The sequence below is a fragment of the Homo sapiens genome, chromosome X (genome assembly GCF_000001405.40).
Source record: "Homo sapiens chromosome X, GRCh38.p14 Primary Assembly".
Lineage (NCBI taxonomy): Eukaryota > Metazoa > Chordata > Mammalia > Primates > Hominidae > Homo > Homo sapiens.
The window spans coordinates 72,244,574-72,264,896 of NC_000023.11; the positions used below are offsets into that span (position 1 = coordinate 72,244,574).

At 47.1% G+C, this 20,323-nt stretch overlaps 1 protein-coding gene across 1 annotated transcript in view; it reads left to right on the plus strand.

Moving 5' to 3' along the window:
* Positions 1–19,391, plus strand: part of PIN4 (peptidylprolyl cis/trans isomerase, NIMA-interacting 4) — an 82,289-nt gene extending 62,898 nt beyond the window's left edge. The window contains exon 4 of the mRNA NM_001170747.1: positions 18,134–19,391. Within this exon, the coding sequence (NP_001164218.1) occupies positions 18,134–18,223 (90 nt within the window). The 3' untranslated portion in view covers positions 18,224–19,391. The remainder of the gene's footprint in view (positions 1–18,133) is intronic.

The window sequence follows — 20,323 nt, forward strand, 5'->3', positions numbered from 1 at the left end:
GGAAGTGACCAGTCCAAGGTCAGACCCTGAACCTGTGACAGAAACAGTACTCAAACCTAGGTACCTTCAATCCCAACCCAGCGTTTTTTCCAGCACACATCATGGCTTCCCTGCATATGAGGAGGGAGTGCCAGCAAAATGTTGCTCTTGGGGACTGAGAATGGAAGAGTGTTTTTGATAACCAAATGAAGTATTCATGCACAAGGAGATCAAAAGTGGGTTTGGGGCCAAGTGTGGTGGCTCACACCTGTAATGCCAGCACTTTGGGAGGCCGAGGTGGGAGGATCACTTGAGCCCAGGAGTTTGAGACCAGCCTGGGCAACATGATTCATCAGACAAAAAACACAAAAATTAGCTGTGTGTGGTGGTGTGTGCTGTAGTCCTAGCTACTTGGGAGGCTGAGATGGGAGAATCTTTTGAGCCCAGGAGTTCGAGGCTGCAGTAAGCAGAGTCACACCACTGTACTCCAGCCCGAGTGACAGAGTGAGATCCTGTCAAAAAAAAAAAAAAAAAAAAAAAAAAAAAAAGGAGCCGAGAGTGGGTTTGGGGCAGGAAAAAAGATGAAATTGATTAGAAACAGTAATAATGTATTTATGAGACAGGGTCTCACTCTGTTGCCCAGGCTGGAGTGCAGTGGTGTGATCTCGGCTCACTGTAACCTCAGACTCCTGAGCTCAAGTGATCCTCCAGGCTCCAGCGATTCTCCAACCTCAGCCTCTTTAGCAGCTAGGACTACAGACATGTGCCACCACATCCACCTAATTTTTTTAATACTTTGTAGAGACAGAGTCTTGCTATGTTGCCCAGGCTGTTCTCCAGCTCCTGGGCTCAAGCGATCCTCCCGCCTCAGCCTCTCAAAGTGCTAGGATTACAGGTGTGAGCCACCAAGCTCTGCCAACAGTAAGAATTTGTGTTTCCCAGATACCTAATTAGGCTTCTCCCACCCCATTTCTAGCTAGGGTTCTTATAAAGTAGGTGGGATTTGGGGGTAGGGGATAGAAGATTGAGACTGAGGGTTTAATCTCCCAGGGGAAGCAGGAAGGAGGAGGAAAGCCATGGGATGGAGGCTGCCCCAGCCAACAGTCATCTCCAGCTCTGCCAGCAGAGGGAGCCAGAAACTGAATTTCCTAAGAATGGCAGCTGGCCTGGCCCCTGGGATGGATAAACCCTTCTTGGAAACTAATCAAGTCAGCCCAGGATGCTGTGGAAATGACAGGGACTGGGAGGAAGGGAGGGAGCCAAGAGTTAGGATTACCTGCAGGGTCTTTGCCCTAAGTTTCACAGTCTTTGATGAAAGCCTTCTAAACCTGCCTTTCGGGGTTTGGGTGAAGTGGGCACCAAAGGATAGAGAAACCTTTGACAAGGCAGTCCCACTGCACAAAACATGGCATCCTCCACTCCCTTTGGGTTACCTCAGTGGCTCTCAAGGCCTCACAATTCTGTCTCTAGCCTCATCGTCTCTCCTGAGATTTGGACCTAGATGGCAAAATGGCTATAGGACATGTCACCCCGGAAGCTCAAACTCAACATGGCACCGAACTCACCCTCTCTCCCCTAGACCTGCTCTCTCAATATTTCCCATCTCCATGAATGGCACTACCAACCCCCAAAGTGGTCCAAGTCAGAAACCGGGAAGTGTCTTTGAGGCCTGCCTCATATTTGCCCCTCAAGTTCAATTCATCAGTGAGTCGTGTTGGCTCTACCTCTAAAATACATCCCAAATCCAATCACTTCTCTCCATCTCCACTGCCACCACGGTAGTCTATGCCACCATTCTGTCTCACTTGGACGACTGCACTAGCCTCCTGGCTTGTCTTCCTGCTTCTATTTGTGCCTTTCCCCCACTATCTGATCTCTACCCAAAAACCAGAATCATCTTTCAAAAATACCAAACTGATCATGCCATGGCCCTGTCTAAATCCTTCAAAGCCCCCTCGTTTCCCTCAAGATCAAGTCCTGCCTCCTTACCATGGCTTACAAGGCCTTCCTGATCTGGCCTCTGACTACCTCTCTGGCCACGTCTTACTTCTTCACAACCCCTACACATACATGCACACGATCTCTTCTCAAACTGAACAACTTCCAGCTATTCAGATCTTGCCTCCAGGCCTCCCCACATGCAGTTTCCTCTGCCTGGACTCACCCTTTTCACCTCACTATTGTCTATTCACTCCTCTTGTCTCAGTGCAGGTCTCCCTGCTTCCAGGAACCTTCCCTGATCCTTCTCAACAAGTCATCCTCTGTGATCCCACATCCTGCCTTTATCATTGGGTTTATTCCATGGAATGTAGCTGCCTGGTTACCTGTCTGGCTCCCCCGTGATCATGTGAGCTCTGTGAAGAACATTTCTGTCTTTTTCACAGTTATACCCTCGCAGAGCTCAGAATGGTCCCTACACATAATGGCTGACCAGTAAATAGTTGTTGGATGGATGGATGGATGGATGGATGATCTGTCAATTAGTAATCCTAAAGGAGAGCACTGTGTGCTCTGTTAGAGAACTAGAATGAGGCCTTGGGTGGGAATGATATATCCAAAGACATAATGAGGACCAGAAATCAGGGAAGTGGGGAGGGCCAAGCATACCCATCCCAGCCACTTCTCTTGCCAATACTACCCCTGTCTCCCTTTTATACCTGCCTCCAGATGGACCTGGAAGTAACACAGAGGATTCTGAGTTACACCCAGGAACTAGACAGCCCTCTTCTAGTCCCTTCCCAGATCTTGTGCTAGGACAAAGCCACCCATGCTTGGCTGTGAGATGAACAGGCTCCAGCCAGAGCCCAGTGTCGCTGGACTCTCCAGATGCCCTGTACCCACTTGTTCCCCAAGTCAAGGACATTTCTGGGAGCTCCCCATGAGCTCTCCTGTAGCTTCCTTATCCTCCTTCTGCAGCAGCAGAGAAACCCTCCCTACATAGCATGGGTGCCTCTCACAAAACCTGGGGTCAAGGCTTCTCCCTGGTGCCAGCCCAAGAAGGGACTCCAAGTGGGCATCTAATCCAAATAGGCGTGGCCTTTTTCCCTTCCTCTTTGGCACTAAAAGAGACAGGTAGTAAAAACTACAAGCTCTTGAGGGCAACAGGAGGGAAGTGGGGGCAAAGGTGAAGTTTTTCTACAGCCCTTCAAAGGTCTTGGCCCCTTGCCCAGATCCAAGTCAAGAACTGTTTGTTTCAGAGAACTGGCTTCCCAGCCATCTGCTCAGAGCTTAAAGAGCCTAGGGGCCCTCATGGGATGTTCTGTTCAAATTAGCCAAAAAAGGCAGGGTGAAGACAACACAGCAGGAGGGGCCTTGACCAGTCTGGGCCTCTGAAGGTGTGGAAGGAAGGGGCAGGTATATGGCACTAGGGCACATTGAGGGTATGGCAAGTCCCAGAACAGAGAGCTCTTCTCACAGCCCAGTTCCACTGATCTTAGAACCATGTCTTCCATCCTTTGTGAGCAGCTAATTTATGCCAGGAACTTTCCCCACAACAAACAAGATGTTCTCTTGTACCAGTTGAAGGAACCAAGGATTAGAGAGGTTAATTGCCTTGCACGAGGTCATGCAGCAAGTACACAGCAGGTTCAATGAGTGTCCTCTGGTGATTGGTTGCCAAGGCTGCTAGAAAATGATTCTTCCCTTCAGTGAGCAGATAGGCAGCCTGAGGATAATAGCCAGGAGGGGATACAGAAAGTCACACTCCTTTTGCGCCTAGGACATAGCTTGCTCCATCCAGAAAAAAAAAAAAAAAAAAAAAAAAAAAAAAAAAAAAAAAAAAAAATGTCCTTATTCCTTTGACACACACTGTCTCTGGGTTGTAGAAATGGGTCAGGCACTAAGGTCAGGTTTTACATGTGGAAAATCTTAGGGTGAAGACAGGAAAAGACTTTCTCACAGTCAGAGTGTAAGAGAACAGTTCAGATGAATGGAGCTGTCCAAGAAGCCAGGCAGATATGCAGGAGAAAGACTGACAAGGAAACCCTCTCTCCTAAAATCCCCCACAGCCATGAACATTCACATGAATTGAAAAACCAATCCTCAGCCAGGTGCAGTGGCTCATGCCTGTAATCCCATCACTTTGGGAGGCCAAGGCGGTGGATCACCTGAGGTCAGGAGTTCAAGACCAGCCAGGCCAACATAGTGAAACCCTGTCTCTACTAAAAATACAAAAATTAGCCAGGCGTGGTGGTGCACACCTGTGATTCCAGCTACTCCAGAGGCTGAGTCAGGAGAATCTCTTGAACCCAGGAGGCAGAGGTTGCAGTGAACTGAGATTGCGCCACTGCACTCCAGCCTGGGTGACAGAGCAAGACTCCATCTCAAAAAAAGAAAAGAAAAAGAAAAAAAAAAACCAATCCTCAGGCAAAATTGCTAGGGGGTAAGTTTGAGGACTTGCAAAAGTAGGGGGCCTTTGGGGCCAATCTTTAGTTCACCAGGGGTTCTCAAGTCTGCATTCATGTGAGACTCACTGGGGATATCTTAAATAATAATTATGTTTGCGATATATTTATCTGACAAAAGACTGATACCCAGAATATATAAAGAGCTCCTACAAATCAATAATAAAATGACCACCCAAAAATATGAGCAAAAGAGTGGAACAGACACCTCATGAGACAGGATATATGAATGGTCAGTAAGCACATGAAAAGATGATCAACATAATTTTCCATTAGGGAAATGCAATTTAAAACTAAAAGGACATGCCTCTACATACCCATGAGAATGGCTATAATTTAAAAGACAGACAATACCAAGTGTTAGCAAAGATATGGAACAACTGTAAGTCTCATCTTTTGCTGGTGGGGGTGTAAATTGGTACAACCACTTTGGAAACCAGCAGTTTCAAATAAAGTTAAACCCAGGAATTCCACTCCAAGAGAAATGAGTATATGTGCTCACAGAGAGACTTGTACAAGAATGTTGATAGCAGCTTTGTTTCTAATAGCCAAAAACTGGGACCAATGCAAATGTCCCTGGATGCCTGAATGGATAAACTTTGGTGTATCCATACAAGGGAATACCACTCAGCCACAAAAAGAAATGAACTACTGATCCTCAGGGCAGTAGGATGAACCTCAAGGGCATTATACTAAGAGAAATAAGGCAATCTCAGAATGTTACATACTGCTTGATTCCATTTCTATGAAGTTCAAGAACAATCAAAATGAATCTATGATAGAAATCAGAACAGTGTCTGCCTCTGGCAGGGGTGAAGGGCAGTGACTGGAGAAATGGAAATGTTCTATGTTTTAATGGGGCAGTGGTTACACAAGCACCCACAATATCACAATTCACTGAACTATACATTTAAGGCCTATGCATTTTACTGTGGGTAAATTATGCCTAAATTTTAAGACTCATGCCCAGGCCTCACCCCTAATTAAATCAAAGTATCTAAAGGTGGGGCCTGGGCAAGGGCATTTTCAAAATCTCCTCAGGTGATGCTAATGTGCAGCCGGGGGTGAGAACCGCTGATAACATTACCACCACCTTTCCCTGGCAACAGTCCCTCTCAGCCTCCTGTGTTCTGGAGACTTTTCAGAGATGCCCATCAGAAAAAGTCTCTCCCACTATCACAAGCAGAGGTAGGCAAGTGGGGATAGAAGGCGAGTGAGGGTAAGTGCATACCAATATATCTCAAAGGTTGTTTCATATCAAAACATAAAGGCACTGAATTTTACACTTTAAAATAGTTAAAATGGTCAATTTTATGTTATGTAAATTTCATCTCAATTTTTCAAGTTAAAAAAAAAATCAGCCGGGCATGGTGGTACGTGCCTATAGTCCCAGCTACTCAGGTGGCTAAGGTGAGAGAATCACTTGATCCCAGGAGTTCAAGACCAGCCTGGGCAACACAGTGAGACCCTATCTCAAAAAACAAAAAAATGACCAAGAACTTCCTTAGATTTGATGGCTGCACATATTCCATTGTAAAGGTGTACTTTATTTAATCAGTCCTCTATTGAAGGATATTTTTCCCAATCTTTTGCTGTTAAAAACATAGTGAGAGCTAGGCATGGTAGCTCACACCTGTAATCCTAGCACTTTGGGAGGCAGAGGTGGGAGGATTGCTTGAGCTCTAGAGTTTGAGACCACACTGGGCAACATAATGAGACCCGTCTCTACGAAAAATAAAAATAAATAAAAACATAGTGACAATAAATATTCTGGTATATGGTTTTTTTTTTTTTTTTTTTTTGAGAGGGAGTCTCACTCTGTCACCCAGGCTGGAGTGCAGTGCCGCAATCTCGGCTCACTGCAACCTCCACCTCCAGGGTTCAAGCAATTCTCCTGCCTCAGCCTCCCAAGTAGCTGGAATTACAGGTGCCCACCACCACGCCTGGCTAATTTTTGTATTTTTAGTAGATATGGGGGTTTTGTCATGTTGCCAGGCTGGTCTTGAACTCCTGACCACAGGTGATCCTCCCACCTCCATCTCCCAAAGTGCTGGGATTACAGGCATGAGCCACCACGCCCGGCCTGGTACATGCATTTTTTTAAAAAATATGTGTGAGTGGGCCGGGTGCGGTGGCTCACGCCTGTAATCCCAGCACTTTGGGAGGCAGAGGCGGGCGGATCACAAGGTCAGGAGATCGAGACCATCCTGGCTAACACAGTGAAACCCCGTCTCTACTAAAAATACAAAAAAAAAAAATTACCCGGGCGTGGTGGCGGGCGCCTGTAGTCCCAGCTACTCGGGAGGCTGAGGCAGGAGAATGGCCTGAACTCGGGAGGTGGAGCTTGCAGTGAGCCAAGATTGTGCCACTGCACTCCAGCCTGGGCGACACAGCGAGACTCTGTCTCAAAAAAAAAAAAATATGTGTGAGTGTATCTGTAGAATAATTTCCTAAAATTGGAATTGTTGGGTCAAAGTGTATATGTCTTTCTTATTTTGCTAGAAACTGCCAAATTGCCCTACATAAGGGATAAATGAATTTACATTCCCATAAACAATATATGAAAGTGTGTGTTTTCCCCACCTTTGCTAACAGTGTTTTCCAACCTTTTGATCTTCACCCCTCTGATTATTAAAAAGTGGTACCTTGTAGTTTTATTTTGCATTTTCCCTGAGAGTAAGTCTTAACTGACTCAGATAAAGACGTTCAAGTGGAGGAGAGGGGTGTTTTTTTCGAGGTAGGGAAGAAGGCAGCTGTTTTAGTTCTGGCTGCTATAACAGAATACCATAGACTGAGTGGTTTAAACAACAAACATGGCTGGGTGCAGGAAGCTCATGCCTGTAATCTCAGCACTTTGGGAGGCTGAAGTGGGAGGCTGAAGTGGACTCACTTGAGTCCGGGAGTTCGGGGCTGCAATGAGCTATGATTGCACCAATGTACTCCAGCCTGGGTGACAGTGTGAGACCCTGTCTCTAAAAAAAACCAAAAAATTAAAAATAAAATAAAAAAAACAAACGAACATTTATTTCTCAGTTCTGGAGGCTGGGAAATCCAGGATCAAGGTGCAGGCAAATTCAGTGTCTGGTGAGGCCCTCTTCCTGGTTTGCAGACATTCACCTTCTTGTTGTACTCTCACTTGAGGGAGAACAGAGAGAAAAAGGAAACAAGCTCTTGGAGTCTTTTCTTTTTAATAAAAAAAATTTTTTTTTGAGAGACAGGGTCTTGCTCTGTCACCCAGGCTGGAATACAGTGGCACAATCACGGTTCACTGTAGCCTCAACCTCCTGGTCTCCAAGCCTAGCTATTTTTATTTTTTATTTTTTCGTAGAGGTGGGTTCTTGCCATCTTGCTCAGGCTGGTCTTGAACTCCTGGCCTCAAATGATCCTCTCATAGGCATGAGCCACTTAGTGCCTGGCCTCCAGGTCTTTTCTTTTCTTTTTTTTTTGAGACAGAGTCTCGCTCTGTCACCCAGGCTGAAGTGCAGTTGTGCAATCTCAGCTCACTGCAACCCCTGCCTCCTGGGTTGAAGCAATTCTCCTGCCTCAGCCTCAGCCTCCCAAGTAACTGGGATTACAGGCACGCGCCACCACACTCAGTTAATTTTTGTATTTTTAGTAGAGACAGGGTTTCACCATGTTGGCCAGGCTGGTCTCGAACTCCTGGCCTCAAGTGATCTGCCCGCCTTGGCCTCCCAAAGTGCTGGGATTACAGGCGTGAGCCACCGCGCCCGGTCCCTCCAGGTCTTTTCTTATAAGACATTAATCCTATTCATGAGGGCTTCACCTTCATGACCTAATCACCTATCAAAGGCCCCACCTCCTAATACCATCCCGTTTTGGGTTAGAATTTCAACATACGCCTTTAGCAGGGACACAACGCATGGTTCATAACAGCAGGTATCTTACCATGTTTCTGTTATAGTTGTGTTAGCTTTGAGCAAGTCACCAAGAATCCAAGGGCTCTTAACTGAATATTAAGGACACCCAAATGTCTTTCTTAGGTCCAAACCTCTCACTGGAGTCCCAGACTCCTATATCAAGTCCCCCTCGACATCTGACATTTCACTCTGAAAACGTCCAAAAGAGAATTATTGGTTCCCAACCCACCCTCAAACTTGACCTGCCCTGGTTTTCCCCAGCTCTACAAACGGCACCACTCAGTTGCTCAAACCAAAAACCTTGAAATTAGAAACATCATCTCTTTCCCTCATCCAGTTCATCACCAAGCCCTGTTGGCTGTCTCCAAAATACATCCTGAATCTCTCCACCTATCCCCACTCCACTGCAACTACCCAAGCCTAAGCCACCTGGAATTTACCAATGGTTTCCTAACTAGTCTCCCTATTCCCATTCCTGTTCCCCAGTCAATCTTTCTTATTAGAAAATCAGGCCGGGCACGGTGGCTCACGCCTGTAATCCCAGCACTTTGGGAGGCTGAGGCAGCTGGATTGCCTGAGGTCAGGAGTTCGAGACCAGCCTGACCAATACGGTGAAACCCCATTTCTACTAAAAATACAAAAATTAGCCAGGCGTGGTGGTGTGCGCCTGTAGTCCCAGCTACTGGGAGGCTGAGGCAGGAGAACTGCTTGAACCCGGGAGGCGGAGATTGCAGTGAGCCGAGATCACACCACTGCACTCCAGCCTGGGCGACAGAGCAACACTCCATCTCAAAAAAAGAAAAAGAAAAAAGAAAATCAACGCGGGGCGTGGTGGCTCATACTGTAATCCCAGCACTTTGGCAAGCTGAAGTGGGAGGATCACTTGAGCCCTGGAGTTCAAGACCAGCCTGGGTGACATAGTGAGACACCATCTCTACAAAAAAAAAAACAAAAGAAAACAAAACAAAACAAAAAACAACTAGCTTGGCATGGTGCTGCATGCCTGTAGTCCTAGGTAGATGGGAGGCTGAGGTGGGAAGATCACTTGAGCTTGGAAGGTTGAGACTTCAATGAGTCATGATCATGCCACTGCACTCCAGCCTGAGCAACAGAGTGAAACCCTGTCTTAAAAAAAGAAAAAAAATAAAAGAAAAAGAAAAGAAAAGAAAAGAAAATCCATTCCTCAAACAGTACCCAATAATCCTTTCAAGAAACACATAAAGCAGATCAGGTCACTCCTTTGCTTAAGACCTTTCATTGAGTTCACAACACACTGGAAATACTATCGAAACTCCTCACTGAAGCCTACAGGTCCCTGTGTGATTTCCAAATCTCACCCTTTTTCTTCAGGCACATTGGCCTTCTTTCTGTTCTTTGAACAACCATGCCCATTTCCACCACCAGGTCTTTGCTTTTGCTGTCCCCTTGGCCAGTAACACTTTCCCCTAAAATCTGAGCATGGCTGGCTCCTTCTTATCATTCAGAAATCAGCCATCTCTCCTGAGACCTTCCCTGACCCACCTTCTTTAAAGTAGCTACCCCCACCACTCTAATCCTATTTATATATTTCAGAGCCCATACCACGATTTAAAAGTATCTGTTTCCCTGTTTACTTCCATGTTGTTTGTTTCTCCTGTAGATATCAGCTCCATGTCTGTATTTTCAAAAGCCGCAATCGTCCTAGCACATAGTAGGTGCTGAAAAAATATTTGGAATTAATGAATAGTTTAACAGTACTTTCTTGTTTTCAAAGCCTTCACCTGGTAAGGATCTCAGATTTGGGGAGAGGAAGGGTTGTTTTTCAAGTCCCTGAAGGAAACAAAGCTGATTTTAAAAACTTGAGATCTGTGTCTATCCAAATAATTAGCAAAAAGTCTGATCTATTCGTGAACTAAGCTCTCCTTGACCTGCTGAGCTGCCTTTGAAATATCCTGTGTCATTGCAGGCAATAAAACAGCCTTTCTTTGTCAATATTCTCTGCTTCAAATTTCTCACTAATTCCAGCTGGCCTCATCCCAGCCAATCTGAATGACTGAAAGGCAGAGTGAATATAATTTAATCAGCGGCTCTGCCCCTGCAGGATGAGCTTGAGGTGTCTCTGTGGGCCTCATCTCCAAAAGGTGTCCCAGGGGCTGTGATTTTGCACGGAATAAAGGAGGGCCAGCAGGAACCCCGCTCTGGCGGGGGATTCAGGCAGGCACCGGCTCAGGGCGGGGGTCCGGGGAGGTGGGAGGAGTCGGGGTGGCGGCGAGGCGGGTGGGGGCAGAGCCGCAGAAAGGCAGGGAGAAGGGGAAAAGAAGACAATACCGGGAAAAAGAATAGTCGTGGTAATAATAGTCCATTGGCGGATCGCTTGAGCCCAGGAGGTCGAGGCTGCAGTGAGCCATGATCACGCCACTGAACTCCAGCCTGGGCGACAGAGCAAGACCCCATCTCTAAAAATAATAATAATAATAATAATAATAATAATAGTAATAATAATAATCATTGTAATGCCAGCTGGCCGCCGTTTTAGTTTACAAACTCTTCAAGCCATTATCTCGTTTATGCCTGTCAACAGCTTGCTTGCAGGTTCTCATCCCCGTGTCACCGACAGGGAAATCAAGGCTCAGACAGGTGGCGGCTGAGAAGGCTGCGGCCTCCCTGCCGCGTGGTGCCCTCGGCCTTTCCTGCCGCCTTCCCGCCCCTCTTCCCGCCCACGGCGCACCGCTCCCCCACCTGATCTCCTGCCATCAGTGAGCCCGGCGGCGCCCGGCCGTTGCTATGGCATTTCTGGAGTGTCAGAAGTGCCCAGGAAGCATACAAATCGACCTGCGTGAGACAGCTCTGTGCAAAACAACTTCCAATTTACTCGCAATAATTACCACCCCCAGATAATAGCCTGTACTCAGGCGGGCGAGCAGGGGGCGGATGGGGGAAGGGAGAGAGGACTCTGAGAGGCAGGGAAGGAGGCCGGGCACAACAGACAAACAGCCACGGCAAGGCTGGGGTTTCAGGGAGAGGTGGGGGAAAGCAGAGAGGTGGTGCTCCTGAATTAGGGACTGAAGAAGGCTCAGTCCTCCTAATTTGGTTCTGGAAACTCCAACGTTCTTCTGGACGGATCATATGAAGGCATTTCATTCGATATTTACTGGGCACCTTTGGAGGTGGGCACTTTGCCGGGCACCGGGAATGCAAAGGCGAAGACTCCAAGTTCTTGTAGTGAAGTGGCTCACAGACTCCTGGGAGAGTCAAACATAAAGGGCCATGATTCATTCAAGCAATACTTACTAAGCACCTACTATATGTCAGGTATTGTGTTGAGGAAAAACCGGAGAGCAAAACACACAAAAATCCTTGCCCTCATGAAGTTTAACTTAGAGTAGGGGCAGACAACACATTTTTAAAAAATAGCCAAAGTACTGTTAGTTGGTGTGTTCCAGAGAAATCAAACCAACAGGATCTCTAGATTTATACACATATGTGACATACATGTATATATTTACTATAAGGAATTGGCTCACATGATTATGCAGGCTGAGAACAAGTTCTGCAGTTGGCAAGCTGGAGACCCAGGAGAGCCAAGGTATAGCTCCAATTTGAAGATGGATGTCCCAGCTCAAAGTCGGCAGAGAAAAAGAATTCTTCCTTACTCAGCCTTTTATTGTATTCAGGCCTTCAATGAATTGGATGAAGCCTGAGGGCACCCTGCTTTACTCAGTTTACCAATTCAAATGTGAATCTCAACCAGAAACACTCTCACGACCCACCCAGAAATCATGTTGAATCAAATATCTGAATACCCCACAGTCTAGTCAAGTTGACACATAAAATTAACCATCACAGTCAAAAGGGAGAAAAAAAACAAAACAGGAGAGCAGGAATAGCAAGTGTTGGTGGAGTAGGTGTTGCAGATTGAAACAGGATGATGGGGAGAGTTTCACTGAGAACGTATGTTTTGAATGAAGACCTGAAACAAGTCGGGCAGCAAGCCATGCAGACTTCCAAGAATGTTCCAGGCAAAAGAAACAGTAGGTACAAAGGCCCTCAGGCTCTGGCATGTTGGAGGAATAGCAACTAGTCCAGGGTAGCTGGAACAGAGCAAGGGAGAGAATAGGAAAGAGCTGGGAACAGATCATCTAGGCTATATAGGCTGACATTAAGGACTTAGACTACAAATGAAACAAGAGTCACTGAAGGACTTTGAGGTAGAAAAGTGACATGATAGCTGGGTGTTGTGGCTCACGCCTGTAATCCCAGCACTTTGGGAGGCCGAGGTGGGTGGATCACGAGGTCAGGAGATCGAGACCATCCTGGCTAACACGGTGAAACCCCGTCTCTACTAAAAATACAAAAAAATTAGCCGGGCGTGGTGGCATGTGCCTGTAATCCCAGCTACTCTGGAGGCTGAGGCAGGAGAATGGTTTGAATCCAGGAAGCGGAGGTTGCAGTGAGCCGAGATCGTGCCACTGTACTCCAGCCTGAGTGACAGAGCGAGATTCTGTCTCGAAAAAAGAAAAGAAAAGAAAAGAAAAGTGACGTGATTTGACTTGTGTTGTAACAGAATCCCTCTGGCTTCTGTGTGGTGAATAGACTGTGTGGGGCCGGGGGGAGGGCGTGATGGGCAGGGGCAAAGTCATTAGGAGCACTGCTAGGAGCAAAGGAGCAGTAGAGTACCATTGCTGTAACCCAGATGAAAGCTGATTGGAACTTAGACCAGGGTGGCAGCTAGGGAGATGATGATAAGTGGTGGATTCTGGATATATTTTGAAGGTGGAGCCAAGAGTATTTGCTGATGGATTGGACATGGGGTGGGAAGAAAAACAAAAGGAGTTGAAGATGATCAAGGAGGAAGGTGTCTTGGGGCAGGCAGTGTGGTGTGAAACAGAGAGTTCAAGTTCATAGGGACTCGGGAGTTAAGTTGGGCTATACCCCTGCCCTTCTTAGCTGTATGACCTTGGGCAAGTTGCTTTCCATTTCTGAACCTGAGATTCCTCTTCTGTAGGAGTACACAGGGCTGTTGTGAAGATTTAATGAGGTGATTATGTAAAACCCCAGTTCCACGGCTGGCACAGACTAGGTGCTTCCTGAGCACTTGCTGCTCCCTTGACCTTCCTTTTCTGAGGAAGCTGGAAAAGCCTCGTAGCAGAGCTGAGGTTGGAGGCAGCTGGGAAGGATGAGTGGGGCTCTGTTAGGCAGAAAAGAGGTGCATGGGGCTCATCCTTCACAACAGGCAGGAGGAAATGAAGCCAATGGCCAGGCAGGCCTTCGTGGAAGTCTCGGGTTGGGGAAAGCTGCAGGAGGACAGGGTGTGGAGACTGTGGACTGTGTGATGGAAAGGAAGTCCTGTGCAAGGAAAGGAACCCCAACAGAGAGGCGTGAGGAGATGAGAGGTCCACCTCCTGCCTCCCCAGCTCTGCCTTGGATCGGCCCTGGCCCAGAGGACCTTTGAAACCTTCTGAGTTACCGGATGAAGCAGGTCATAACTATGGCACACAAAATTCCCAGCATGCCGAGGAGTTACTGAGGTTTGTGTTTGTGTGAATCACACAGCAAACATCTGTCTTGGCCACTGGCCAGAACAGGGCTCCCCCCACAGCCACACGCACACTGATTGCAAACATATGGCCCCCAAGGAAGAGACTCTCCAAAAGGCCTCGTGAACCATCTTTGCATTCTGGCCTGAATCGCCCCAGCCCTTACTCCCTTACTCCTTGTACAAAAGCATGAATCCCCTTTATATGGGACTGTTAGACCCACACTGAGGAAACCCTACCCCCACCTCCAGAACCACAAACACTAACTCCTCACCTCATGAGGGGCTCTGACATCAGAATGCCTGGGTTCCCATCCAGCCCATCCCTATTAATTGTGTGAACTTGGACCAGGTTCTTGACCTCTCTGAGCCTCATTTTCCACCTCTGCGAAGAAGGATGTAAATGATACCTCCATCACAGGCTTGATGCAAGGCTCAAATGGGATTATCTGAGAGTAAGACTCAGGGGCTCTAAAAAATTTGGGTTTTACCTTGTCCCCTGCACCCCCTACTCAATACTCCCACTACCATTACGTGATTCAAAATAAAAATTATACCAAACTGTAAAGAGGGTAAGAAATGCTCTATAAGTTCCCGCCAGAAAATAAAAAAAATTTTTTTACAAAAGGGTAAGAAAGTCTAACCAAGGTCTGCTTTTTCCTGTGATGACTACTTTGATGGAGTTATTTGAAATCTCAATTATCATATTATTTTCCAAAACACTTTTGTTGTCATCCCTGCTTTATGAATGCCCTAAGCATTTTTAGTGAGCAGTTAGGCCCCAGAGAATATGGACTTGGAAACTGTAACTGGAAACAACACATTCTTGTTGGCCAGGATCAGCTAACACTCAATAGAGTTTACTACTTTTTTTTTTTTTTTTTTTTGAGACGGAGTTTCGCTCTTGTTGCCCAGGCTAGAGTGCAATGGCATGATCTTTGCTCACTGCAACCTCTGCCTCCCAGGTTCAAGTGATTCTCCTGCCTCAGCCTCCCAAGTAGCTGGGATTACAGGCGCCCACCACCATGCCCGGCTAATTTTTTATATTTTTAGTAGAGGAGGGGTTTCACCATGTTGGTCAGACTGGTCTCGAACTCCTCATCTCAGGTGATCCACCAGCCTCGGCCTCCCAAAGTGCTGGGATTTCAGGCATGAGCCACCATGCCTGGCCCAGAGTTTACTATTAATAGTCGCCAGGGAGTGTTCTAATACAGTTTATCCTCACAACAAAACCTATGAAGTTGGTACAATTATTATCCCCTTTTACAGATGGGAAAGCTGAGAATCAGGGGTGTGAATTGACTTGCCCACTATCACAGCTAGTGAATGTTGGTGGGGGTTTTGAACACTGGTACTCTGGCACAGAGGCCATATCCTTTTTTTTTTTTTTTTTTTTTTTTGAGACAGAGTCTCGCTCTATTGCCCAGGCTGGAGTGCAGTGGTACAATCTTGGCTCACCGCAACCTCCGCTTCCTGGGTTCAAGCCATTCTCCTGCCTCAGCCTCCTGAGTAGCTGGGATTACAGGTGCTTGCCACCATACCTGGCTAATTTTTTTTCTTTTTTTTTTTTAGTATAGACGGGGTTTCACCATATTGGCCAGGCTGGTCTTGAACTCCTGACCTGAAGTGATCTGCTTGCCTCAGCCTCCCAAAGTGCTGGGATTACAGGCAGAAGCCACCGCGCCTGGCCCAGAGGCCATATCCTTAACCGCTATGCTGTAGTGTCTCTTCAACAGTTGGATCAAACTACTGCCACACATATAAGAGCCTTGTATTCCAAAGGGGCTGGGCTGGGTTAAGAGAGTGGGATTGGTTGTTTGGGTAGCTCTCCCCACAGCTGGAGACCCAGCCCCAAGTCTTCATCCTAGCTGCAAAGATACGAGAGTGCTCAAATTGGCAGTGGTGCCGCCCGGTGTCCTTCCGAGGGGAGGCATCTATAAATGAGACGTTTGAATCAAATGTTTTCCAAAGGTCCTTTCAGTTCAAGGAGCTGAAGGCCCAACTTTCCCTTGGGCCTGCCAGCTATCTTCTCCTATGGGAGCAAGCAGGCCCTTTGCAGACCCTTTCACTCTGTCCTCCCTCAAATAGTGGTGTGCATCAGGGTATCCTTGGCCCTTGCCTATCTTACTTGGAGGCATGGCACGCCTGAGAGACCTCATCCCTCCAGGGCTCCAGTTACCTTCTTTATCCTGATGCCTAGTCCAGACCTCTCCTCTGAGGTTGAGAACCATCTCTCCAACTGCCTCCCAAGGCCCTCCTCCTTAGTGTCTCCCACGTATGTACCTCGCCCTCTACCTGCAGTGTGAACTCAGTGGGTGTCTCTCCCCGGACCTCTTCCTTTTTTCATGTTCTTTTCTACAACTGGCTCTGCCACCTACTCATCCATTTGCTTAAGCCAGAATTCAGGCAGTCATTCTCAAGTTTTCCTTGCTCTCACTCTCCACATCCCATCAGTCACCAAGGCCTGTCAATTTTACCCCCTACAAATTGCATGAAACCAATCCCTTCTTTCCGTCCCCATGGCTGTCTCTCTAGGCCAAGCCACACTACCTGAGAGCTGAAGTAAAAGGCAAAAGCCTTCCGCGGCCCTCTCTGCCTCTATTCTCTGCTTCCATGAGCTGCTTTCACCGTGCAGCCAGAGAGAGCTTTTTAAATTAAGCAAAATTTAGCCGGGCGCGGTGGCTCATGCCTGTAATCCCAACACTTTGGGAGGCCGAGGTGGGTGGATCACCTGAGGTCAGGAGTTCGAGACTAGCCTGGACATGGTGAAACCCTGTCTCTACTAAAAATAAAAAAATTAGCCGGGCATGGTGGCAGGCACCTGCAATCCCAGCTACTCGGGAGGCTGAGGCAGGGAGAATTTCTTGAATCCGGGAGGCGGAGGTTGCAGTGAGCCGAGACGTGCCATTGCACTCCAGCTTGGGTGACAGAGGGAGACTCCGTCTCAGAAAAAAAAAAAAAAAAAAACCAAAATCTGGGTGTCGACCCCCCTGTCCAGAACTCATGGATGACTTTATTTCTGTTTGGATTAAGTCCAAATTTTTGTACATGTGTAATGAGACCTAGTGCTATTAGGCAAATCATTTTACAGGATGGGTTCTGGAGTCCCTATAAGCCTCGATTCTAATGTAAGGCCAGCCATTTCATAGCGAATGCGACTTTCGGTATGCTTTTTAACATCTTGAATCTTCAACTTTCTCATTTGCAAAGTGGGAGAACAGTACCTCCCTGGTAGCGTTGTTGTGAGGGTGAGAGAGGAGAGAGGGCATGTAACCTGCTCAACTTGGTGCCCTGCACCTAAGCACTTTAATCACTTGCTGCCAATTAGACCTGGTTATTATAAAGTTGTCAGTACCAGTAATATGATTTATTGATTTAATCAACTAACGATTACTAATTGTGATATGATGGATTTGTTATATTGTATTATAAGTTATTATTGTGAGGTTATGATGATATTAATTTGGATTCTGTGATGATCTCTCCAGCCTCGCCTCTCACAACTTCCTCCCACCCCTCTTCCCTTGCCTTTACTTGTCATACACCCTCATTCCCAGGTGTTCTTGTTTTCTGCCATCTCTCCCTGGAAAGTCCTTCTCTCCCCATCCTCTGAGTCCTCCAGCCCCCTTTTATCTCTCTAAGTCCCTTCAGATGCTTAAGTCAGCTCAAGGCACCAATTCCTCTGTGAAGCCTTCCCAGACCCTCCCCCCAAGACCTGTATAGGTGTCTCTTCTATGGGCCTCCAAGAGCACCTCGTGCTTCCCTTCTCAGACCACCTATCACAACATATTTGTGATTATTTACTTGTCACAGTCCTGGACTTAGGTCGTCAGTTTGACAAAGAGCTCTTATCACTGTATTCCAAGTTCTTAGCGCTCTGCTGAGCACGTGGTTGTGGTTCGATAAATGTTTGCTGAATGAACAAGAGATCAACCTGGCAGCATTCAGCGCCCCACCCCATGACAATCTGCCCCCTTCAAGGGGGTCTGAGGCCCCGAGCCAAACCTCTTCAAAGCCAAAAGCTGCTGTGTCTGCCCTAGAAGTATTTCTGTCCTTCAGTTCATAACCTTCTCACTTCCTGTGGGCTTAGTGAAGGTGTGGGCATTTTTCTTCACCAGTAAAATGGCAAATAAGCCCAATTTTTCAGGGTCGTGGAAATTCACTGCAAGGAGGAGCTCTGTAAACTGCAAAGGGCTGCATGTAGCACTTAATGATGATCAGACACAATAAATGTGTTGCTCTTTGGCTCAACTCTTGTCAAGACCCCATGCAGACAAGGGCCCTCCTGTTTATACAGCATTATCTCTAGCAATCAGGTTACAATTGATTGACATTATCACTTTCTTTATGTTTGGCAGATTCCCAGCCTGCAGCAACATGCTGGTCACCATAGAGACCTGAGAAGCACCCTCATCTCATTGGTATCATATTTACAAACCACCCCTTAAAGTGGATTATTTTGCAGATGGCTGATCTCATCTATTCAATGTTGATTCTATTAGTTCCAATTTCAGAAGGTGACATTTTCTGACTTTGTCCCCTTAAGCACAAACAAAAACTATGGATTTTTGTTTTTGTTTTCAGAAAAGAGAAAGTACAAGGTGTGCTTGGGGAACAGCAAGGAAACCAGACAGATGTGGGGGCGGGTTTGTAGGGGAACTGCTGGATGTACCTCATTAATTTGTTCATTTGTTCAGCACCCACAGGGTGCCAGTGAACGGGCTAGGTGCTGGGGATAGAGTGGTGAACAAGATGAGCCTTATGCACCTCACAGTCTCCTGGGGGAGACAGCCAAATAGACAATTTTAATACAATGTGGCAAATTCTATGATGGGAAGAAGAGAGAAATGGTGTGTGTGAGTCCCTCACCTTCCCAGAGGTTTCCCAGGGGAAGCAACGTTTCAGCTGAGACCTGAAGGATGGATGACAGTCCACCAGAAAAAAGTTAGTGGAGCGGGGACAAGCAGGGTTGCAGAGTGGAAGAAAAATGTTCCTGTGAGAAGAAACTGTCCAAAGAGTCTGAAGAGAAAAGGGAACAGGGTGAATTTGAGGCCCTACAAGAAAAACAGGAGACCATTCAACAGGAGACGCCCAGGGAGCAGGTGGCTTTGTGGGCCTGATGTCCAAGAAAGAAGTCGTGGTGGTAAACAGAGACTTGGGATTGCAAGCTACTGTTGTCTTTCTATTGAAAAAATAGCTGAGCACCACACTAGGGAGGCCTTGCAAGGACAGCCCAAAGAATTTGAACTTGATTCTACAGGCAGTGATTTTGAACAAGAGGTTTTGAAGAGAACGTGACACACGTCAAGCTGAGCTCTAGGGAGTGGGCAGCAGCCTGCAGAAGAGGGACTAGGCTAGGAGCACAGAAAGTAGCCCACGGCAGAGGTAGCAGAAGGAATGGAGGAGTGCCCATGTGAGGGGTACTGAGGTGGCACACTTGCCAGAATCAGGGCAGCCTGCTTGGTCTCATACCAGCTGGAACCAGTTCCTACCAGCTCCCAAGGGCTAATTGTTAAACTTTCAGGAATTTTCTCAGCATTCATTAAAAATGAAAAAAAGTATCAATATTAAAAATATTTTTGCTGGACATGGTGTCTCAGGCCTGTAATCCCAGCTACTCAGAAGGTTGATGCAAGAGAAACACTTGAGGCTAGGAGTTCAAGACCAGCCTGGGCAACATAGCACAATCCTGCCTCTTTTTTGTTTGTTTTGTTTTTAGAGACAGGGTCTTGCTTTGTCACCCAGGTTGGAGTGCAGTGGTGCAATCATAGCTCACTGCCACCCTGAACTCCTGAGCTCAAGGGATCCTCCTTCCTCAGCCTCCCAAATAGCTGGGAATACAGGCACATACCCCCTTGCCTGACTAATTTTTTTTTTTTTGAGACAGAGTCTTGCTCTGTCGCCCAGGCTGGAGTGCAGTGGCGCGATCTCAGCTCACTGCAAACTCCGCCTCCCGGGTTCATGCCATTCTCCTGCCTCAGCCTCCCGAGTAGTTGGGACTACAGGCGCCTGCCACTGCGCCCGGCTAATTTTTTGTATTTTTAGTAGAGACAGGGTTTCACTGTGTTAGCCAGGATGGTCTCGATCTCCTGAGCTTGTGATCCGCCCACCCCGGCCTCCCAAAGTGCTGGGATTACAGGCGTGAGCCACCGCGCCCAGCAGCCTGGCTAATTTTTAAAAAACATTTTGGCTGGGTGCGGTGTTGCATGCTTGTAATCCCAACATTTTGGGAGCCCGAGGTGGGCAGATTGCTTAAACTCAGGAGTTTGAGACCAGCCTGCACAACATGGCAAAACCCCGTCTCTACAAAAAAAAAAAAAAAAAAAAAAAAAAAAATTAGCTGGGCATGGTGGCGTGTGCCTGTAGTCCCAGCTACTCAAGAGGCTGAGGTGGGAGGATTGCTTGAGCCCAGGAGGTCAAGGCTGCAGTGAGCCGAAATCAGTGCAGTGAGACCCCGTCTCAAGAAAAAAATTTTTTTTTTTTTTGTACAGGTGGGGTCTTGCCATCTTACCCAGGCTGGTTTTGAACTCCTGGGCTCAAGCAGTCCT